We start from the raw sequence: 20,994 nt of genomic DNA on the forward strand, positions 1-20,994 counted from the left end.
AAAATGTGTAACAGATACCCAAGGAAGAATCTTGGTTCCAACTTTGCCCCCTCCCACCCCAAATTGCCTTGTACCTCACCCAGGGGCAATCACTGTTGCAGTTACTTGTGTTTACTTCCAGTTTGGTTGCATGGGTATCCATGAAAATATAAGCAAATACTATATATGTTTATGCCCACCTCTTTTACAAAATGTGGTAGCACTTTCTACATGCTATCCTGCAATGTTAATTTAATTAGCTTTTCCGCGGAGGATGAGAGGGAGAGGAGATGAAGAATGTATGACAGCTATCCAGGGAATTTGCATAATTGCTCAGTGAATTAGCAGAATGGAGAATTTGGGGAATGTTCACTAGTTCAGACGAGTAAGAATGTATTGGACTTCTTTCTTCTTCATTTCTTTTATTTCCCTTTTCTCTTTCTTTCTCTTTCCCTTGCTTTCTTCCTCTCTCCCTTTCTTTCTTTCTTTATGTTGAAGTGGGTTACTTCTCCAGGTATTTGCTACTATCTTGACCTGCCTGAACATCGTCGACCTTGATCTTTGTGGCTGAGACACACAGCTCCCCACTGAGCAAGCCCCCTAAGTTGGTCTTACTGCACAGCCTTCCTTAAGCCAAACAGAGATGGGTTTCCACTGGCAGATCGTCTCTAGCCAAAATGCGCAGATATGTTTCTCTCGGCTTTAGTGAGAGACTCAAAGTTTATCTCTTGGAATTCATCTGCCTATCGAGTGTAATTGTGCTTGGGTAAATACTCAGCAAATAATCAAATGATTTCTGCTTCACTACTCCTGGGAATGCAAACCTTTGTGGTGCCAGTTCAGAAGAGTCCTTTGAACTGCTCTTGCCAAAACATCATGTGGGGATTCTTCTGCCAGGGCCAGCATTGTCAGATGCTGCCAATTCTTGCTCAATATTTTAACAAACATGTTGACTGGAAATCAACTGGTTAGTTGGAGGAGCTAAATCAATGTAGGAATATGGTCAATGTTGCAAAGCGAGGAATGGGACGGGAATGCTCTTCCTCATCCCTTAAACAGAGACAATTCCCTTCTCTCTGCCCTGCAGACTGGTTAAATCTAATCACCAAACGTGCCAGATGCCTGACCCTGGGGAGGCATTGGAGATAAATCTGCACTTAGTCTCTCCAGCAATTTAAAAATACTTTTGCAATAATCTGAACGAATTCCTTGAGGGAGATAACTTTTACATAGTGGATCTTTATTTTTCCTCTTATGGCCAGAGTCTCTCGTAGGCCCTGAAAAGCATCATTAACCTTTTAGGCAGTGAAATCCATTAAGCCTTAAAGTAAGTTGTTGGATACCAGTGTTTCTTCCCTACCTGGAGCCGCTCTTATGTCCTGGGTGATTTCCAGCTGCAGGTGGTTATGAACGGAAAGGTTCAGGGGCCTTTGGCTTTCAGTGTATTATTCAGGAATTTTTCCTTTTCCCAAAAACATATATTTTGAGAAATAACTTGATGTAGTGGGCTTCCACAGGATGTGGTCTCCCTCACTCTGGACCTGCAGGGAGCTGGGGGAGACTGTAGTTAGTAGCGCAGTTGGTGACGGTAAGACAAATGGTTAACGTCTTGGATTTCCTCTGCAGCCCCTACGAAAGATGTGTGGGTCAGCCCTGTAATTCACCCAGGGGTGATCTGTCACGGCGTTAGATGGGTTTCAGGCTGCACTGTTTAGACAAAGAAAAAGAAGCAGATCCTGTCCTGGATAAAGGCGGATGTGAATGATCATATTTATGGTGGGTTCTGTGTCCCTGTGTGCACATGAGGACTCTCAGGTTGTTAGGCCTCCTTCCATTCATTCCGGAGTATGTGAGGCTGCTTTAGTTTTGCCCCACAGAGAGGGAGAAAGGGGCTTCTCTGGTGAGGTCAGGCATTAGGTCTGGGGTGGGGGTAGAGAAGTTGTGTCTTCCTCTTTTCCTGAGGAGAGAATCTTATTTTTAGAATCCCTAGGCTTTGCTCAGCATTTTGTTCTCTTTCTCCTACTCCCTACCTTGAGGTCAGAAGGGCCCCCGTGGAGCAGAGGACCTGTGGGCCCGGGGGCGCTATTTTCTCAAGGCAAGTAAGTTACTTTCTTCTGGGGCTGTTCATTTTTCCATTTCCTGGAGTTCTTTCTTTTTTTTTCTTTTTCTTTTTTTTTGAGACGGAGTCTCACTCTGTTGCCAGGCTGGAGTGCAGTGGTGTGATCTCAGCTCACTGCATCCTCTGCCTCCCTGGTTCAAGCGATTCTCCTGCCTCAGCCTGCAGAGTAGCTGGGATTACAGGCGTGCACCACCACACTCAGCTAATGTTTGTATTTTTGGTAGAGACGGGGTTTCACCATGTTGGCCAGGATGGTCTCGATCTCCTGATCTCGTGATCCGCCTGCCTCAGCCTCCCAAAGTGTTAGGATTACAGGTGTGAGCCACTGCGCCAGGCCCACTTCCTGGAATTCTTTCCACCATCACTGCCTCCTTTCTGTCCTCCATGGTTTCTGGTGTCTTTGTGTCCTCAGACCATGCAGGGCCCCCATTTTTCTGACTATTTAAGGTTAGATGCAGACCAGTCCTCAGTCCTCACTTCTTCACCCTTCTTCACGACTTCTGGTGCTTTCCTGGATTTAGTTGCTTAAATCCATGCTGTGCGAAGGTCTTGATTACAGATGGCCTCTTGCTGATTTCGAATATCCATTTCAGCCTGACTTATATTTTGGAGCTGCTGCAGGAGCCGGGGTTCCTGCTGTCATGGCAAAGTCACCTTGAGCTTCCTGGTTTAATCTCTGGAAGGCTGTCTTTTGTTGTGGGTGGTTCATTTGTGTGTGTGTGTGTGTGTGTGTGTGTGTGTGTGTGTGTGTGTGTTTCATGAGGCTGGGAGGGCAGCATGCATGGCTTTGGAGTTGGAAAGACAAGAATTTAAATGCTGGCTCTCTCACTTTCTAGGAGTGGACCTGGGGCCGTTTCAGTATCTCAGGACTTGTGTGTGTGCAGTGGGGACAATAATACCTCTCTTTCCTGGGCTCCTGGAGCCTGGATTAGATAAAAGAGTGTTCACACACCACGTGGCACAGAGTAGACACGCAATTATGTTAACTTCTTTCTCCTTCCCTTTCTCTTTACCCATCTTTTTTCCCTTTTGTTACCACATTTTCATCTGCCTTTCCCATAGTCAGGACTTTACACCTGGATTGGAGTTCAGCTTCTTCGGCCTTTAGACTGCAATGCTGTTTCCCACGCCCATAGCTGTGACCCATACTGCCACTATGTATACGAGTTACTGTGTAACCTGAGCAAGTGTTAGGAATTAGTACATATATTAAAGTGTCTCCCGTAGACATTTTGCTTTAGGCAGTGATGGAGAACCCATTTGTCTCCAGGCAGATGTTGCTATTGGGCAGTCTAAAGAAAGGCTTGGCTGTGAACACAAGTAGGGATAGGCTGGCAAACACCATAGTTTACTTGTTTGGATTGGACAGGATATACACTGTCCTTTGTGGCTGCCTCCAATGAGGTCCTGGAAAGCACAAAGGAATTTCAGGCCTTGTAGCCAATCATGGCTTAGGATGCAGGGGTTGCAGATGCATCGATCTGACCACCTTCCTGTGGTTTCTCTCCAGCCTGGCTCTTTGGGGCTGAGAACTGCTGCCTCCACTGGAGGGGATTTGTGTGGAGACTGACATGTGGATGCTTGGGCAAAACCAGGCCTTAGGCATAGTTGAAATTTTAGACCATGTATAACTTTAGACTCTAAAGCGTATGTTCTCAATGGGAGCAATGTCACCCCCAAGAGGATGAAATTGGTTCTCAGAGAGCAAAATCTTTTAAATAATTTTTTTGATATAAATCAAAGGTATGTGTACAACACATGGATATACAGTATATCTGTAATGGTAAAATTTGAGGGTATTTAGGGATAAAAATGTCTAAAAAGCCTCCTAAGGGAAAAATAATGAAAAAAAAAAGATGGAGAAACGTTCGTCTTGGGCAGTGGTTCTCAGTGTTGGTTACACACTAGAATTATTGAAAGAGTTTTAAAAATGTTGATGCCTAGGCTGTACTCCAGACCAATTAGATCACAATCTCTTGGATTGGTTTCAGCCACTAGTATTTTTTTTAATTTCTTTCCCTCTTTCCTTCCTTCCTTCCTTTCTCTCTCTCTCTCTCTCTTTTTCTCGAGACAGGGTCTCCCAACGTTATGCAGGTCTTAAACTCCTGAGCTCAAGGGATCCTCCTGCCTGGGCCTCCCAAAGTGCTAGGATTACAGGTGTGAGCCACCACACCTGGCCCAGCTACTAGTATTTTTAATGCTCCAGATAATACCATTGTGCAGCCAAGTCTAGTAATTCCTATTCTAGAGCCTTGGTACTCAGAGTGTGATCCATGGGTCAGTATCGTTATCATCTCCAGGGAGTTTACTAGAAATGCAGAATCTCAGACTCTTAGGTGATTCCTGCACCTATTAAAGTTTGACAAGCACTTAGATAAATACTTATTGCTACCAAAATCTCAGAGCACTTCAGTGCAGCTGTGTTAATCAAATGTCAACATGTTTCTAGCTGTTTGTTTCCGGACCTCACTGTTGGCCTTTGGAATGAACAACCTGGTGTAATGGGAGTGGCCCTAGGCTATATTTGTGTTCTGACCTGTTGGGAAGCCCTGCCATCTCGGAAACTGAACAGACAGCTCATTCCCAGGAAGGGGACCAATGTAAGCAAAGATGGCCAAGTCTAGTCAGCTGGAACTAAGTAAGGGAGGATTCTCACTGTTAAACCAATTACTTTAGAGTTGGTAGTTCTTCAGTAAGAGGCTGGTGCATGGATGCATGGAGAGTGATGTTTGGGGCAGGACTAGCTTGGCAAGGCTACAGGATGGATGAGAACTGAGAAAGAATGGGAAGTTGGAAAATTGCTTGTATCTTGTGAGGTCTATGTACGGTCTGCAGTTCATTCATTTGTTCATTCATGTATTCATTCAACAAATATTTATTGAGTGGTCACTATTTGGATTTGATGTGGAGTAATTGTTATGGAAAAAAGAAGGATAAATGTGACAGACCTTGAAGGGAGAGCTTTGGAAATAATGATCCAAAGAAATATGCTAGGAGTAAGCTGGCTTCTATTTTTTTCTTTCTTTTTTTTTTTTTTTTTTTTTTGAGACGGAGTTTTGCTCTTGTCACCCAGGCTGGAGTGCAGTGGCACGATCTCAGCTCACTGCAACCTCCACTTCTAGGGTTCAAGTGATTCTCCTGTCTCTGCCTCCTGAGTAGCTGGGATTACAGGAGTCCATCACCAAGCCCAGCTAATTTTTGTATTTTTAGTAAAGACAGGGTTTTGCCATGTTATCCAGGCTTGTCTCGAACTCCTGACCTCAGGTGATCCACCTGCCTCGGCCTCCCAAAATGCTGGGATTACAGGCATGAGCCACTGTCCTGGCATCTATTTTCATTTCATTTTCAATTTTAAAGTATTTATTTAATATTTAATTATTGACAATGATTGTGTATATTTAAGGTGTACAATGATGGTTTAATATATGTATATACTGTGTAACAATTATCACAATCGAATTAATTAACATGCTACCCATGCTGTGCCTTAGATCACCTTATAACTTAAAGTTTGTACCCTTTGATTAACATCTCCCCATGTCTCCCATTCCTGCAGCTTCTGGCAACCACAATTCTATTCTCTGTTTCTATGACTATGACATTTTTAGTTTCCACAGATGAGTGAGATCACACAGTATTTGTCTTTCTGTGCCTGGCTTATTTCACTTAGCATAGTGTCCTCCAGGCTCATTTACATTGTCTCAAATGGCAGACATTTTTTATGTCTGCCATTTTTATGGCTGAATAATTCCAGTGTGTATGTGTGTGTGTGTGTGTACATTTTCTTTATCCATTTATCCACTGATGAACATGTAGGTTGTTTCCATATCTTGGTTATTGTGAATAGCTCTGTGACAAACACGAAGGTACAGATATCTCTTTGAGATACTGATTTCATTTACTTTGGATAAGTGGGATTATTCAACTGTGGGATTGCACTAATTGGTACAGCCATAGGGGAAAACAGTATAAAGACTCCTCAAAACATTACAAATAGAACCACTGTATATTCTAAAATCAGCTAGCTTTAATCAACTTAAAAATACTGGCTTATCTATCAAAATCTGAAGATACAAAATCTTTTTAAAATCTAAGGCTTACAAAATAGTTTTGTAAACAAATGACTTTGAAAATAAGTGGAGTTTCATGTCATCCGTGCTAATTTACAAGGAAAACATCATTTCTGGAGTATTTTGCACCTCTCGTTTTAGATGGACATAGGTTTTGGATTAGCATCTTGCAATTTTCCTTTGTTCATTGTCACAAACTATTTCTTGATGGTTTATGAAACGTTATTAGAGGGGTATAAAACTGGTGAGTCCATCACTATTCAGGCTGACTTAGGTTGTGAGCTGATATATTACCAAGGTACTCCTTGGGGTTTCTGCATCTACCTGACTACTTCATGGATAATTACTCTTAATTGTGGTTTCATAATTTAGCCAATTTATGGTTACTGGGATAAAGCATTTGAAGCTATTATGTAGCTAATGGTGTAGACATTTTCATATCTTTGTCTTTAGAGTGATAAATGTAAAAGGTGCCTAACTCTTCCACCAACATTAACTTCTCACACTTAAAATATTGAATTAAACAATTTAGTGTCCTTGACAGTGTAATAGATTTTGTTTAATAGGTAATGTCTAAACCTGGACCTAGTTCACCTCATTTTAGTGAATGTAATTTTTCCCACAAGGAGTGTTCAGTGTAAATCTATCAGACACGTGTGGAGCTATGTGACCTGGTAACAACCCCTCTGGAGGTAACATAAGAATCACTTCTATTCCCATTACCACACAATTGGTAAGGGTGACCTGGAATGATAAGAGTAATGTGAAATAAAGCAGAGGTATTTCAGTCATATGTTCCCTTATTTTCAAAAAAAGCATGCCTATTCCACATTCACAAAGAAACAGTTTATTTTGTAGTATTATATATTTACAGGGTTTCATTAACATTTCCTAAATGTTCTTCCTAGCACTGTTATGAGATTGGTCAGATTTTCCCCCTTAGTCTTTTCAAACCACACACAGAAAGCACAGAGAGATCAGACAAAGAGGAGCTTGGTTGACATCTCCTGAACAGAATGTTCTTCTATGCTGGGTTTTCCCTTACGAGCATCGAGCCACCACTCTGTGGTCAGATCACCCTGGGTTTTGACACCAGCTCTACATTCACTAGCTATTTGCTTCAATCATTTGTTTGCTCATCCAATATGCACTTATTTGAGTACCATGTTTCAGAAATGGTGACGTAGATACACAATACTTATTGACCTTGTGGAGTCTACAGTTGCCTTTAATGGATGTCACCAAATGGATGAAACCTTTATTCGTTATCTGTAAAATGGGACAATAACACCAAACTCCTGGGATGGAGGTGAGGAATAAACAAGCCAGCAGGTGCTCAATAACGATAGTTATTTCCAAATGTTTATCAGGAACCACTTAACACCATATGGATAAATGTTGCTCCTATTACAGGATTCAATGGCCCTTTCTACTTCTTGACTACAAGAAAAGGCAGTGGTAGTATAGGAAATAAGAAGTTAAAGGTGTTTTCTGGGCCCTCAAAAGTAAACACACTTTATCATTTTATGTTCTGTAAACCTTCCCAGAACATCTAGGGAACACTGTTCATAGAAAAGCCACTGCACAAAGCCTTGCTGATGAAGAATTTCATCTTTTCAACAGTGACTATGCTAAGGACTCAAAAAAAGCCCTGAATTTGTAGACAGATTCACTCCCTGAGGGCTCAATGAACTAAAAGCAATATAGCATGCCTGAGGTGACCGTTTGGTCCATAATTTTATTCAGAGTGGTGACATTGCCAGGTGACAAGAATGCCAAGTATGTTGAGCAAGCATCAAGAGATGAGGTTGGAAAGGTGGGTAGGGTGGGCCATGGAAGGCCTTGAATGACCACCATGACCACCACTGGAGAGTGGTGAACAAGGAATGACATGATTTGATTTGTGCTTTAGAAATATCTCTTTTAGATGTAGTATGGGGAAGGGCATGGGGGGTGCAGAGGTAGGTCAACAACAGTGGAGATAGATAACACACAAGGAGGAAACTGCAGCAACTCAGGTGAGCAATAATGGATCATGTGGGAGCAGAGAGAGGTAGATATTAGAGGTGCAATGAAGTGTAAAACTTGGATTTGGTGGTTGATTCTATGTGGGGCTAGGAGAGAGAATACACTCTCTGGTGACTTCCAGGTCTCTCTCTTTAGTGAACAGGTAGATAACAGATTGGATTCTATTAAGTGGAAGATTAAGTAAAGTAGAGTAGGTTTTGAGGGAAAGATGATAAGCTAAGTGTGATGCACATCTGGGATCTTGGGCAGGCTGTTGATGGGTGTGTGCGTGGGAGAGAGTAGATGAGGCCTTTGAGATTGGGGTGTCAAAAAAGAAACACAGACCAAATAAAGACCTCGGGGGTCTCGGGGAGAAATAGCAAAAAGAGAACACTAGGGAAGAACAAATTTAAGGGATGGAAAAAGTAGGTGGAGGCAAAGGGGGAACCCATGAGGTCTGTTCCTCCTTCACTGTCCTCAGTCTTGGTAAACGGTACCCAGAAATCTAGGGGTCATCTTTAACTTCACCTTTTCTCACATTCCGTCAAAACCAAGTATTGTGAGTTCTACCTCCTTAATTATCTTCCAATAAGCAGAATTTTTCTAAACAATTTTTTTTTTTTTTTTTTGAGACAGAGTCTTGCCGTGTTACCCAGGCTGGAGAGCAGTGGCGCGATCTCGGCTCACTGCAGTCTTCACCTCCCAGGTCCAAGTGATTCTCCTGCCTCAACCTCCCAAGTAGCTGGGACTACAGGCGCCTGCCACCATGCCTGGCTAATTTTTTTTTTTTTTTTGTATTTTTAGTAGAGACGGGGTTTCACTATGTTGGCCAGGCTGGCCTTGAACTCCTGACCTCGTGATCCACCCGCCTTGGCCTCCCAAAGTGCTGGGATTACAGGCGTGAGCCTGTTGTTACAGGCAGCTGGCCATAATAATTTTTAATTAGAAAAGGTTTAAGGGAATTGCTTGGAGGGGTCCCAGTACCCTGATGGTACACATGATAAGTGAATTGGATTTGGTCATTAGCAGGTGTCAACCACATTCTCTTTTAGCTGGTTTAGTGGTTTGGTGTTGGGAATGCTGAGTTACTTGTTCAACTGGCCTTCTAGGCTCGCCAGCTGGACAGATTGAATCTATTTAACCCATCCGGGTGGTGAAATTGTTCTCAACTCAGATATGGAGGTGGTTTGCAAAAGTAAGTCACTTTTCTTTTCATGTGCTGCACAAGTAAAAGACATCTGCTGGCTATTTTTAAAGCCCCAATAGTTTTATGGAATAGTATGCTGAGAAGTTGCATGTATTATACATGTTTATGCTAAATGGAATTGTGATTTCAGTTCACAGCTTTGAGCTGGCTACTTGAAGAAATCCCACAGGGAATTGTTTGGGCAGAAAAACAGCCTTTTACATGGAATCAGCATGGTTCCAGTCTATTGCATTAGGTTTGTTTAAAGGTTGTGTTTTATGAGAATCAGAGCTTTGGAATCAAAGAACCCAAGGTTCTAATATGGGTCAAATATCACCTGCTTCACCCTGGATTATGGTTTACCTGAAATTTTCATGAAAACATTGTTCTTTTCCTAGTTCAGTGTTTGTCAATATTGGCTGTGTATTAAAATCACAGGGAGAGCTTTAAAAATGTAAATGGTCTCCTGATGTCTATGCTCCTTCCAGGAACTATTAAATCAGAATTTCTCAGGGGTAGAGCTCAGGCTTAAGTATGTTCAAAGAAGTCCCCAGGTGATTCTAAAGTACAGTCAAGGTTGTGGAATCACTGCCTCTCCCTAGTTAACACACTTTGAATTTCTAGGCCAGTAAAACTTAACTTCCCCACTGGTGATGTCATTTTCAAGTTAGCAGGCTTAAATCAGTTAGTAATTATAAGGGAAGCTAAATGTAATTAAGTGTGCAATATTGAGCTCCTCAAGTGTCTTCCACTGAAATTACATTTAAAAACTGTAATATTTTGAAGGCGTCTGACAAAGAAAATGTATCCCTGAAGCTTCCATAAACACTTGACTTTCTTCTTGATTATGTCCAATTTTCATATGCCACTGGGGACCCTCTAGGTTCACCTCTGTCATCAATTAGACATCCATGTGGATCACACACATTGGAATTCTATCTCCCCTCATCGCAGTAGAGACCCCTAGAACACATCCAGTTGTCTGGTTCACTAGTATCCTGAGTCCCTCACATGGCACCCACAGAGGAGAAATTAATACACACTGCTGGAAGAAACAAAGGACCACTGATGATAAAACTTCGGACACCTAGGGCTGGAATGACCCTTAATGCGTGAAGAGCCTACCTCTCTCATTTAGCAGAGAAGAAAATTGACCCCTAATAGTTAAATGATTCACCTAGGCCCAATTCGTTAGAGGCAGAATCAGACTGGAACCTGAGTCTTTTTATAGGTGCAGTCTTTTTACACTCTACTGAGTTGCCTAACAAGATCTATAGGTGGGATTGAGATCAGTGAAGAACAGCCTGTGTTATTTAATGGCAATTTGGAACAACAAAAATAGATAACAAACTGTTAGCATAAATAGCAAAATTGAAAACAGTATTATGGTTGTGTTAGCTTTTGTGCTAAGCATTTAACGTGTAATAAATGCTGACTTTGTCCTAGATTTTTTGGCATAGTAGTGATGCAATTTTGACTGTATTATTTCTCATACATCAAGGGGAAATATTCATTCTATGAGAATTATTCTGATAGTAAGGAGCGTGAGTTTATTCTTTTGCCCATCTTCTTGTTAACAGTGACAGCTTATCCAGAGGCAGTCAAGAAACTTTACTGATAGTGTAGAAAGGCATGGTCAGATAAATGGATGGATGGAAAAGGTAATCAGAAAGAAAACTTTGTCTACAAAAGGGAAGTTTGTCCCCATACAGAAAACTCTATCCTGCATCTTGGCTTGGACAAAAGGTTTCTTTCAAGATGCACATTCATAAATAGAATAATAGTTAAAGAACTTAGCTTATTAACTGTTTACATAAAATATTAAATAAAGCTGTTGGTATGCTTTGGCTGAGAATGACCCCCAAGATTTGGAAATATCATTCAGTTATGTACATACAGTGAAGAAAGAAATTGTTTTGGCTACATGCAGACCAAGTTGCTAGAAACTTTTGGAATGAAGATGGGAGAGGGCTTAGTTGAGTCTAGAAACTCTGGGGTAGAGCCACAAATGTATGTTTCCAGCTGGGTTCCCTCCAAGTCCAGGCAGCTCTGATTCCATGTCTGTAGGCTGGACCAGCCCTGGAACCTCTGCACTTCAGGAGACAAGGGGCAGAATTCCCCAGAAGTGAACCTGAGGCCCTGGCTTCTCCCAAAGCTATTTCCTGACTTTATGTATGACTTCTTCCCAACTTTCATTTGCTTCAAGGATTTTGTCAACTAAATTAGGCCCTGAAGTCACACAGTGAAGCCAACAAGACGTATTTACCATATATCTTTGCAGGAGAAACTCTAAGAGGTAATAAAACTATTTACTCTCTGATTAGAAAGTTATGTTCTTTGCTTCATACTGACAAACTTGAACACGACAGCTCCCCTTTCATTTTGGCCTTTGGGATTTAGTGGATGTCGTCCAAAGCTCTTTAACTTTTCCAGTCATTTGAAGTTGGTTTTACTTAGAAATGTCATTTAAAGTGTATGGCTGTAGAGCTTATTAGTAAGTGTTTGGCCTGCTCATGGCTGATCTCAGAAGGCCAAGCAGAGGGTTACCAGCCAAAGGCACAGTTAGTTCTGCAAAGGGAAAAACAGAGGAGAACTGATCTTTACCTAGTGCTGACTATATGCCTGGTGCCAGGCAAGGGGCTTTCCTGTCCATGGACTCATTCATATTTCCCTGACTTTGGAACTATGTGCCAAAGACTTTGACAGTGAGAGATGTGAGTGGTATTCATTGGTGGGAATGGATGGGTGGAAGGACCGAGAGGATAGTATTAACCATCTAGATGTTTGCAGAGCAGTGCATACATCCCTGTCTCGGTCAACATGTTTGAAGGTGCAGGATGCTCAAAACTATACTCAGGGTAAGACAGAGGCCAGAGGAGGATGGAGCAGGCAGGATGTAACAACAGGGAGTGCTGAAGGCAGAGGCAAGTGGAGGATGCATTTCCTGCCAAAGGGGCAGCTACGCCTCAGCTCCAGCAGATGATGGCAGTGTCTCTTCAGCTCTGGATTTGATGAGGAAGTCAGAAATCTGAATTTCTATGTGAAATCTCCTCTTTTAAAAAACCATTATTGACCCATTAAACCACATACACCTGGACCCCAGATCTGGCAACAGCCAGCTAGCATACAGTCTGCACAGTTGGTTTCTGGAGTTCAAATCTGTACAGGCTGAAAATCAGGCAAGCGTGAGGGCTGGAGTGCTCCAGGGGAAGGCTGCAGACGGAGGACAGCTGTTGCCATGGGGCTGCTCATCTGCATCCTGCCTGGGCCTGCTGTGCTCACACCTGCTTGTCTACTCTGGCCCCTGTGGCCTGCAAGCTTTACCTCTGGGTGCTGCCTCTTTCTGCAGTTGACTGGGGAAGAGGGGCTACTGGGAATATGGGCACTAAAGTGTTTGTTCTGTCCCCACGTCAGTGAGGGCTGAGCTCACTCCGTGGGCTCTGGTTACATTATTCAGTGACAGCAAAAAGGAAAACAGTTCAACTTCTTATTGCACTGTCACCTCTTCTCAGTCTTCTCATCCTCTGCTCGGCCCAGCCTTCCATCACTTGTGTAAATAATTGCCTGGATTAAAGGCCCTCTGCTGAAAATACTCAAGTGGCTGGGAGCAGTGGCTCATGCCTGTAATTCCAGCACTTTGGGAGGCCTAGGCGAGAGGATTCCTTGAACTGAGTTGTTCAAGACCAGCCTCAGCAACATGGTGAGACCTCATCACTACTAAAAATTAAAGGAAAAACAAGCTGTGCATGGTGGCAAGTTCCTTTAGTCCCAGCTGCTCAAGAGGCTGAGGTGAGAGGATTGCTTGAACCCAGGAGTTTGCAGTGAGTCATGATGGCACCCAGCCCGGGTGACAGAGCAAGACCCTGTCTTCAAATAAATAAAATATTCAAGTGGTTTCTATTTTCTAATTAGACTCTGATGCAATGGAATTTTCATATCACATGTTAAGAATTATGTATTAATTTAGAAATAGTGTTTTTCCCATTTCCATTTATTCAATGTCTTCATATTGTTTTTGTCCTTAACATAATCATTTGCTTGTCACGTAACTCAGTTTTTCACTATACAGTTATATTCATTTCTATTAAAGTTGTTTAAAGAAAGAACTTTGGGAATTGATCCATAGTGTTTCCACAGGTAGTCTTATCCTAAATCAAAAGTACTTTTTTATAATATTAAAATGTATTTCCATTCACCCTGCTGATGTATTTTTGTGATTGCTACAATATTGTCTTACAGTATTTTTTAAGATTACCTTTATTGAAATGTAATTTAATTTATATAAAAGATAAACATTTTAAGTGTATGATTTGGTGAGCTTTGACAAATGCATACACTTCTGTAGCCACCAACACAGTCAACAAATAGAAAACTTTCATTATCTCCAAAGTTCCCTCAATCCCACTTGTGGTCAATCCCCACATCCTTGGGCCCCGCTGACTGCTTGTTTGCTTTCTGCCACTCCAAATTAGCTTTCTTCTTTTCTAGAATATCATATAAAAGGACTCCTATGTATGTTTTCTTAGTGTCTGCCTTCTTTCAGCCCAATAATTTTGAAATCTAGTCATGCTATGTGTATCAGTACATTAGTTTTTTTTCTTGCTTAATAGAATCCATAATATGGATTAAGTGAAATGTGCCTATCTATTTACTTTTGGTGGATATTTGAGTTGTTTCCAGTTTGGGGGATTATAAGTGAAGCTGTTATGACAATACAAATATAAGTCTCCTGGTGAACATATATTTTTATTTTTTTTTAGTAAATATCTAGGAATGGGATTGTTGGGTCGTATGGTAGGTATATGTTTAACTTTACAAGAAAGTGTCAAATTGTTTTCTCAAGGTAGTTATACCATTTTAGATTATCACCAACAATGTGCAAGAGATGGAGTTGTTTCCCATCCTCTCCAGCAACTAGTATTATCAGTCTGTCTCATTTTAGCCTTTCTAGTATATATGCAGTAGTATCTCAGGAGGGTTTGGATTTGCATTTCCCCTGTGACTAAGGATGCTGAACATCTTTGCTTTGTGTGTTGGGAATTGGCACATGTTTGTTCATTTGTTTTTGGTAGTGTGTGTATTTATTTATTTGTTTGTTTGTTTGTTTGTTTATTTTTGAGATGGAATCATCTTCTGTTATCCAGGCTGGAGTGCAGTGGTGCGATCTCAGCTCACCGCAACCTGGGCCTCCCAGGTTCAAGCAATTCTCCTTGCTTCAGCCTCCCGAGTAACTGGGATTACAGGCACATGCCATGCTTGGCTAATTTTTGTATTTTTAGTAGAGACACGGTTTTGCCAAGTTGGCCAGGCTGGTCTCAAACTCCTGACCTCAGGTGATCCTCCCACTTCAGCCTCCCAAAGTGCGGGGATTATAGGTGTGAGCCACCATGCCCGGCTGCGTCTGTCTTTTTTTTTTTTACAAAAATTTTATTTCAGTAGATTTTTTTGGGAACAGGTGGTTTTTGGTTATGTGGATAAGTTCTTTAGTGATGATTTCCGAGATTTTGGGGCACCTGTCACCTGAGCAGCGTACACTCTACCCAATGTGTAGTGTTTTATCCCTCATCCACCTCCTACCCTTCCCTGTGAGTACCCAAAATCCTTTTTTTCTTTTTGAGACAGAGTCTCGCTTTGTTGTCCAGGCTGGAGTGCAGTGGTGCGATCTCCGCTCACTGCAACAGCTGCCTCCTGGGTTCAAGCGATTATCCTGGCTCAGCCTCCTGAGTAGCTAGGATTACAGGTGCCTGCCACCACGCCCAGCTAATTTTTGTATTTTTAGTAGAGACAGGTTTTCACCATGTTGTCCAGGCTGGTCTGGAACTCCTGACCTCAGGTCATCTGCCCACCTCGGCCTCCCAAAATGCTGGGATTACAGGTGTGAGCTACCACGCCTGGCCCCCAAAGTCCATTATATCATTCTTATGCCTTTGTAACTGCATAGCTTAGCTCCCACTTATAAGTGAGAACATGCAATATTTGGTTTTCCATTCCTGAGTTACTTCACTTAGAATAATGGTCTCCAACTCCATCCAGGTTGCTGCAAATTGGCACATGTTCTTAGAAAGTGTCTGTTCGAGGCTGGGCGAGATGGCTCATGCCTGTAATCCCAGCACTTTGGGAGCCCGAGGCGAGTGGATCACCTGGGGTCGGGAATTCGAGACCAGCCTGACCAACATGTAGAAACCCCGTCTCTAATAAAAATACAAAAAAATTAGCCAGGCGTGGTTGCACATGCCTGTAATTCCAGCTAATTGGAAGGCTGAGGCAGGAGAATCGCTTGAACCCGGGAGGCAGAGGTTGCGGTGAGCCGAGATCACACCATTGCACTCCAGCCTGAGCAACAAGAGCAAAACTCCGTCTCAAAAAAAAAAAAAAAAAAAAAAAAAAAAAGAAAGTTCCTGTTTGAATCTTTTGCTGATCAAATACATTGGGTTTTTTATTGTATTATTAATGAATTACAAAATATATATTCATGTATATGTATATATACTCAATATAGATATATTGAATATTCTCTTTGATTCTTTGACTTGCCTTTTTATTTTCCTAAAGCTATATTTCATAAAGCATATGTTTTAAATTTTGATAAACTATAATATATCAATATTTTATGGTTTGTGCATTTTCTTAAGACATCTTTGTCTACTCCAAATCTGAAGATTTTCCCCTACGTTTTCTTCTAGGACTTTCATAGTTTTAGTTTTTAGTTTAGATCTAGGTCCCACATCAAATTCATTTTTGTGTTATGTATTCAGGTAAGAGTTGAGATTTTTTCCCCCAGATGGATATCCAGTTGTTTCAGCCTCCAGTATTGCTTTTTAAAGTGATCTTTAAGGGGCTTGTTTATGACAACCTTCAACCCTTTCCATTGTGAAGTCATGTAATTACTAAATCTACATTAAGCATTTACCCCATATGAATGAGGAAATACATGGCATTTATTAGGTCCTGTTTCCTGCAGGTCTTTCCTGAGCACACAGAAGATCAAGACCACACTCACTGACTTCTCATAGTCAAGCAATTTTGGCCAATTAAATGTCAGTTGGAAACTCCTGTGTCAGCTTCTCTGTGGCGGTGAGAAGTCCCTGTGTGACATCCCAACTCTCCCCTCACCTGCGTTGGCAACCAAGAAAGCCTTGTGTTGGAGGTGGGGCCACAAGTTTAAAGCTAAGTTACCACCTCGAGGGCACATTCCTGGAGAGCTTCCCAGGCCCACAGTGGCACGTGTATGAGTGACAGGTAAATTTTTATATGTTAAGCCTCTGAGATTTCAGAGTTAATTTCTTACTACAGCATGGTCTATTCTATGTACTGGTTAATATACTTCCTTCTTTCTTAAGGTAACCTCTTTAAGCAATTAAACTACCATTGGTTATGATTTTTCAGGCAAATGTGGCTTTGCCAACAGTAAGGTGAGGTAGTACTTCCATACTATGAGAAAATTTCCTTTTTTTAAAAATTTTTTGAGACAGGGTCTCACTTTGTCACCCAGGCTGGAGTGGAGTGGCATGATCACGGCTCACTGCAGCCTCCCATGCTCAGGTGATCCTCTCACCTCTGCCTGAGTAGCTAGGACTACAGGTGCCCGCCACCACACCTGGCTAATTTTTGTATTTTTTGTAGAGATGGGGTTTTGCCATGTTGCCCAGGCTGATCTCAAACTCCTGGGCTCAAGTGATCTGCCTGCCTCAGCCTCCCAAAGTGCTGGGATTACAGGCATGAGCCACCGCGTCCAGCCCTATGAGAGAATTTCTAAGAAATAGAATAAAAGGACTTTGAATAAAAAAACCATCTTTCTTGTTTGAGGGATGATTTAGGGGGAAAAGCCTCACCTCATACTTGGGCATATATCATTTGATTTTACAATAATAGGATTGTAAATCTTGAAGTTTTGAGACACAGTGCTGCAGCTAGAGGATGAAAATATGTTGGTGCAGTGCCCAAATCTACAGCATAACATATGACCCGTATAAGCTGCCCATCAACACTTCCTCTTTCCATAAACTATATTTCCTGCAATAGAAACATTCATAGGAGACCCAGGCTTCAAATATTTCCTGGATGTCCAAAGGCACATCTGGAGGAAATCCTATAGGAGGTTCCTATAGGTCCTAAAAGATACAGCCTGAGTTCTAGATCTGATACATTGTAAAAGTCAAGTACAAAGTCTGTTTCAATGCTCTGCCATCATCTCTCCAGAGAAAACAGCAGAGTTCAGGAGAACCTTTTTGTTTTCTTCTTTGTTTTCTGAAAACAACAATAATGCTGGTTTATTCTGATTTGGTTCAAGAGAAGCAGTATGAATGGACAGAATCCTGGATGGGAAGTTAGGAGTCACGGGTTCTGGGTCTGGCTGTGTGGTCCAGGGCAAATTGCCTACTCCTCTTTGGAACTTGGTTTCATCATTCGGAAATAAAAGACTGAGTTTGTATTAGATTCCTAGTTGGAGATTAGAAGGGGTTATCATACTATTTGTAATATTTCAAAAAGTCTACCAGAAATAGTACCTATTTTCTGATGAGGGTGCACAGGGTTAGCAAAACATCACATTTCTTAACACTTTGACTGTATGTTTTTGAACTCGACAGAGTAGCATTAGTTATCTCCTGTTGAATTAAAACAGGGTTTAAAAATTATATATGTCTTGGCCAGGCGCCTGTAATCCCAGCACTTTGGGAGGCCAAGGCGGGTGGATCACCTGAGGTCACGAGTTCAAGACCAGCCTGACCAATATGGAGAAACCTCAACTCTACTAAAAATACAAAAGACTAGCCAAGTGTGGTAGCATGCACCTGTGGTTCCGGCTACTTGGGAGGCTGAGACAGGAGAATTGCTTGAACCCAGGAGGCGGAGGTTACGGTGAGACGAGATCAAGCCACTGAACTCCAGCCTGGGAGACAGAGCAAGACTCTCTCAAAAAAAAAAAAAAAAAAACCATATATATATATATATATACACACACACACACACACACACACACACACACACACACACACACACGTCTTTAATACCAACAGTAGCTAGCATTTGTTGAATGCTTACAATGTGCTCAGTGCTGGTGTAAATATTAGACCCAAGGGAAATCTTATTATATTCTCCAAAGCAGACAGTACTTTGGCTGCATTCACTATTCTTTGGTTGATAATTTCTAGCTTTATGGTATTGTGGTCAGCTGTTAGACTTGGTTTTTAAATGCCTCCACATAATGTAAGTGAAGTAGAGTATATATGGACATCATAGTTCCTTCTTGTAAGAAGTCATTATGAAGATGATAATGGAAATATTAAACCCATGAAATTTATATGTCAGTCATCTCTAAAATATGGAAGAAATTGACAAGTCAATTTTTTTCAGTATCTGAAGTGAATCTGCTCACTACAAAAATGAGGGCTCTTCCTGATTGTTTAATAAAGCAGAAATAGACAGACCCAAATACACTTATTCCAGAAGCATCGATTAGGTCTGCCCTTGGTGCAAAGCAAAGTATTTGGTGGACAAGAGAGTGAAGGTTAGTGTGGGATAACAGTAGTTAATTTCTAGGAATTTGTAACTGATTAGATAGTTGTTCTGGTTGTTTGTTGCTGTGCAATGAACCATTCTAAGACTCAGTAGCTTAAACAGCTGCTATTTTGCTCTCCTCCACGAGTCTGTGGGTCAGGAATTAGGGGAGGGTACAGCTGGGTTATTCTTCACCTCTCTGTGCCATCAAATGAAGCTACTTGATGATATTCAGCTGGTGAAAGGCTGATCTGCAGGCTCCAAGCAAGTTTCCCTCACAACTCAGGCACCCTAGCAGTCATGCTAGAAGGCAGGGTTCAGCTGGGGCCATCTACCAGAATGCCTGCACATGGTCTCACCTGCAAGGCAGCAGTACCAGGGTAGTCAGATATTTTGCACTATGGTGCAGGGCTTCAGGAGTGTATTCTGAGTCATCTGGGTAGAGGTTGTGAAGCTTCTATAATCTAGACTCAGAACATCACTTCCACCACATCCTGTTGGTCAAGCAAGTAATTAAAGTCAGCCTAGCTTCAAGGGGAGGAGAATTGGACTCCACCTCTTAATGGCAAGAATGGTGAAGAATATATGCCCTTCTTTAATTTATGATAGTGTTCACACCAAAAATACTGCAAAGAATTAGTAAGAGTGCAGTTGCATGACTCCTGGCAAATACATATAAGGGCCCACTTGTAAGGGCTGGGGATCATAATTTGCTGAGAGAAAGTGGAGTCAAGAAGTGAGGCAAGTAAGATGTTATCAAAAGTGCTTTGGAAAGGTCCTTGTTCCTTGGCCTGTGTGTTAGAATGCATGTGTGAGTCTCTAGGCTTCCTTGTACTGTCTGTAGTCTTTGCAGGGTTTGTAATTTATGAGGAGGCAACTCCAGAGTGGATGGCTCTGAAATAATCACATAGCCTTAAAAATTTTCCAATCTCATTGCCTTGTCTTCCAGGGAAGCACTTTGGAAGTTTACTAAATGAAACCAGCTGTCATTTTTATTTGTCAGCATTCAGTGTTACTTAGCTAGGGCAGGTGGCCAGTGGCTTTAGAGGCTTCTGGCACTAGCATTAGCCAGAGGTCACATGTACTCGTGGAGAATATCATTGAACAGACCCACCTGGAGGAGAGTGTCCATTAACTGCAATAGGTTACAAGGGAACAACCATTCGTTCAAATAGGGCCATCCCCTACCATCACCAGGGGAGCCACGGTGTCTGTTGAGAAGGCCTTTAGCAAGGTACTTCCCAGAAAGTGGAGGCATATGCAGATAACTGGCATATGCTTCCTAGCATCACCTCTCCCATCCCCACTCCCTCTGCTGCTACCACACTCAGCCTCTAACAAAATCACATAATTTCTTTCCAAGTCCAGGCTTTTTCCTCTGTACTCTTTAGGTCAGCTGAGAGAGGCCAACATCTTCTAAACAAAATTTGTCAAAGAACATAAGGCAAGAAGACATGCTCTTGGAAAATACAAATTATGTAATAGAACTCAAGTTTCAAGGTACAGTTTTCTGACCCCAAGGCAACTATGGTCTACCCCCAGAAGGCTGGATTGAGGCTCTAGCATTTTGTTTCTCCTCTAACTTGTCTTTCTGATTCCCAGGAGATGTGTTTATGTGCCACCTCATTTGGTTTTCTGCACAAATGCAAAAGACACTTTTTAATGCTAATATATTTTCCTCCCTGATTTGACTTGAACTCCCTTGTTACTCATGGGCCTCTCACCCATTACTTTGTTCATGGCCAGCTGGCAGAGCTGTGGAGGAGCTAGACAGAGCAGGTCCAAGCTCCAAACTCCATCTAGTTTCTAGTCTTTCCATGACTCACTAAAAAGGCATCTTCCCTGGTTTCCAGAACACTGTAGGTTCACTGGGTCTAGCATGGTGATCAAGAGTGGAGGCTTGGGACACAGATTAACTCTCTACCTGTCTCCAGTTATATCACTTTTGACCTTTACTTTTTCATTTGTAAAACAGAAATAATAATACATACTTCATAGGGTTGTTCTGCATATTAAGTTACACATACAGGATATTTTAGAAAAATTCTTGCCACAAATGTTCAAAAAATGTTAGCTGCAATGATGATGATTAAAGAATGCCTTGAGTGTAACTACAGAATATGATGTAGTAATGG

General features: G+C 41.8%; 1 long non-coding RNA gene across 12 annotated transcripts in view, besides 1 other annotated feature; it reads left to right on the forward strand.

Annotated features, from left to right (window-relative positions):
- The window catches only part of LOC102724036 (uncharacterized), a 247,231-nt gene that overhangs the window by 71,346 nt on the left and 154,891 nt on the right, over positions 1–20,994 (forward strand). For all 12 annotated transcript variants that reach the window (XR_007061623.1, XR_007061626.1, XR_007061624.1 and 9 more), the window contains one exon: positions 16,323–16,600. This is a non-coding gene — a long non-coding RNA (uncharacterized LOC102724036). The remainder of the gene's footprint in view (positions 1–16,322; positions 16,601–20,994) is intronic.
- Positions 19,286–19,355: a silencer, noted in NCBI's record as "silent region_19984". NCBI's record gives its function as "represses an Ori minimal core promoter by ATAC-STARR-seq in GM12878 lymphoblastoid cells {active_cell/tissue: GM12878}" and the evidence as "EXISTENCE:reporter gene assay evidence [ECO:0000049][PMID:35858748]".

The sequence above is a fragment of the Homo sapiens genome, chromosome 9 (assembly GCF_000001405.40).
Source record: "Homo sapiens chromosome 9, GRCh38.p14 Primary Assembly".
NCBI lineage: Eukaryota > Metazoa > Chordata > Mammalia > Primates > Hominidae > Homo > Homo sapiens.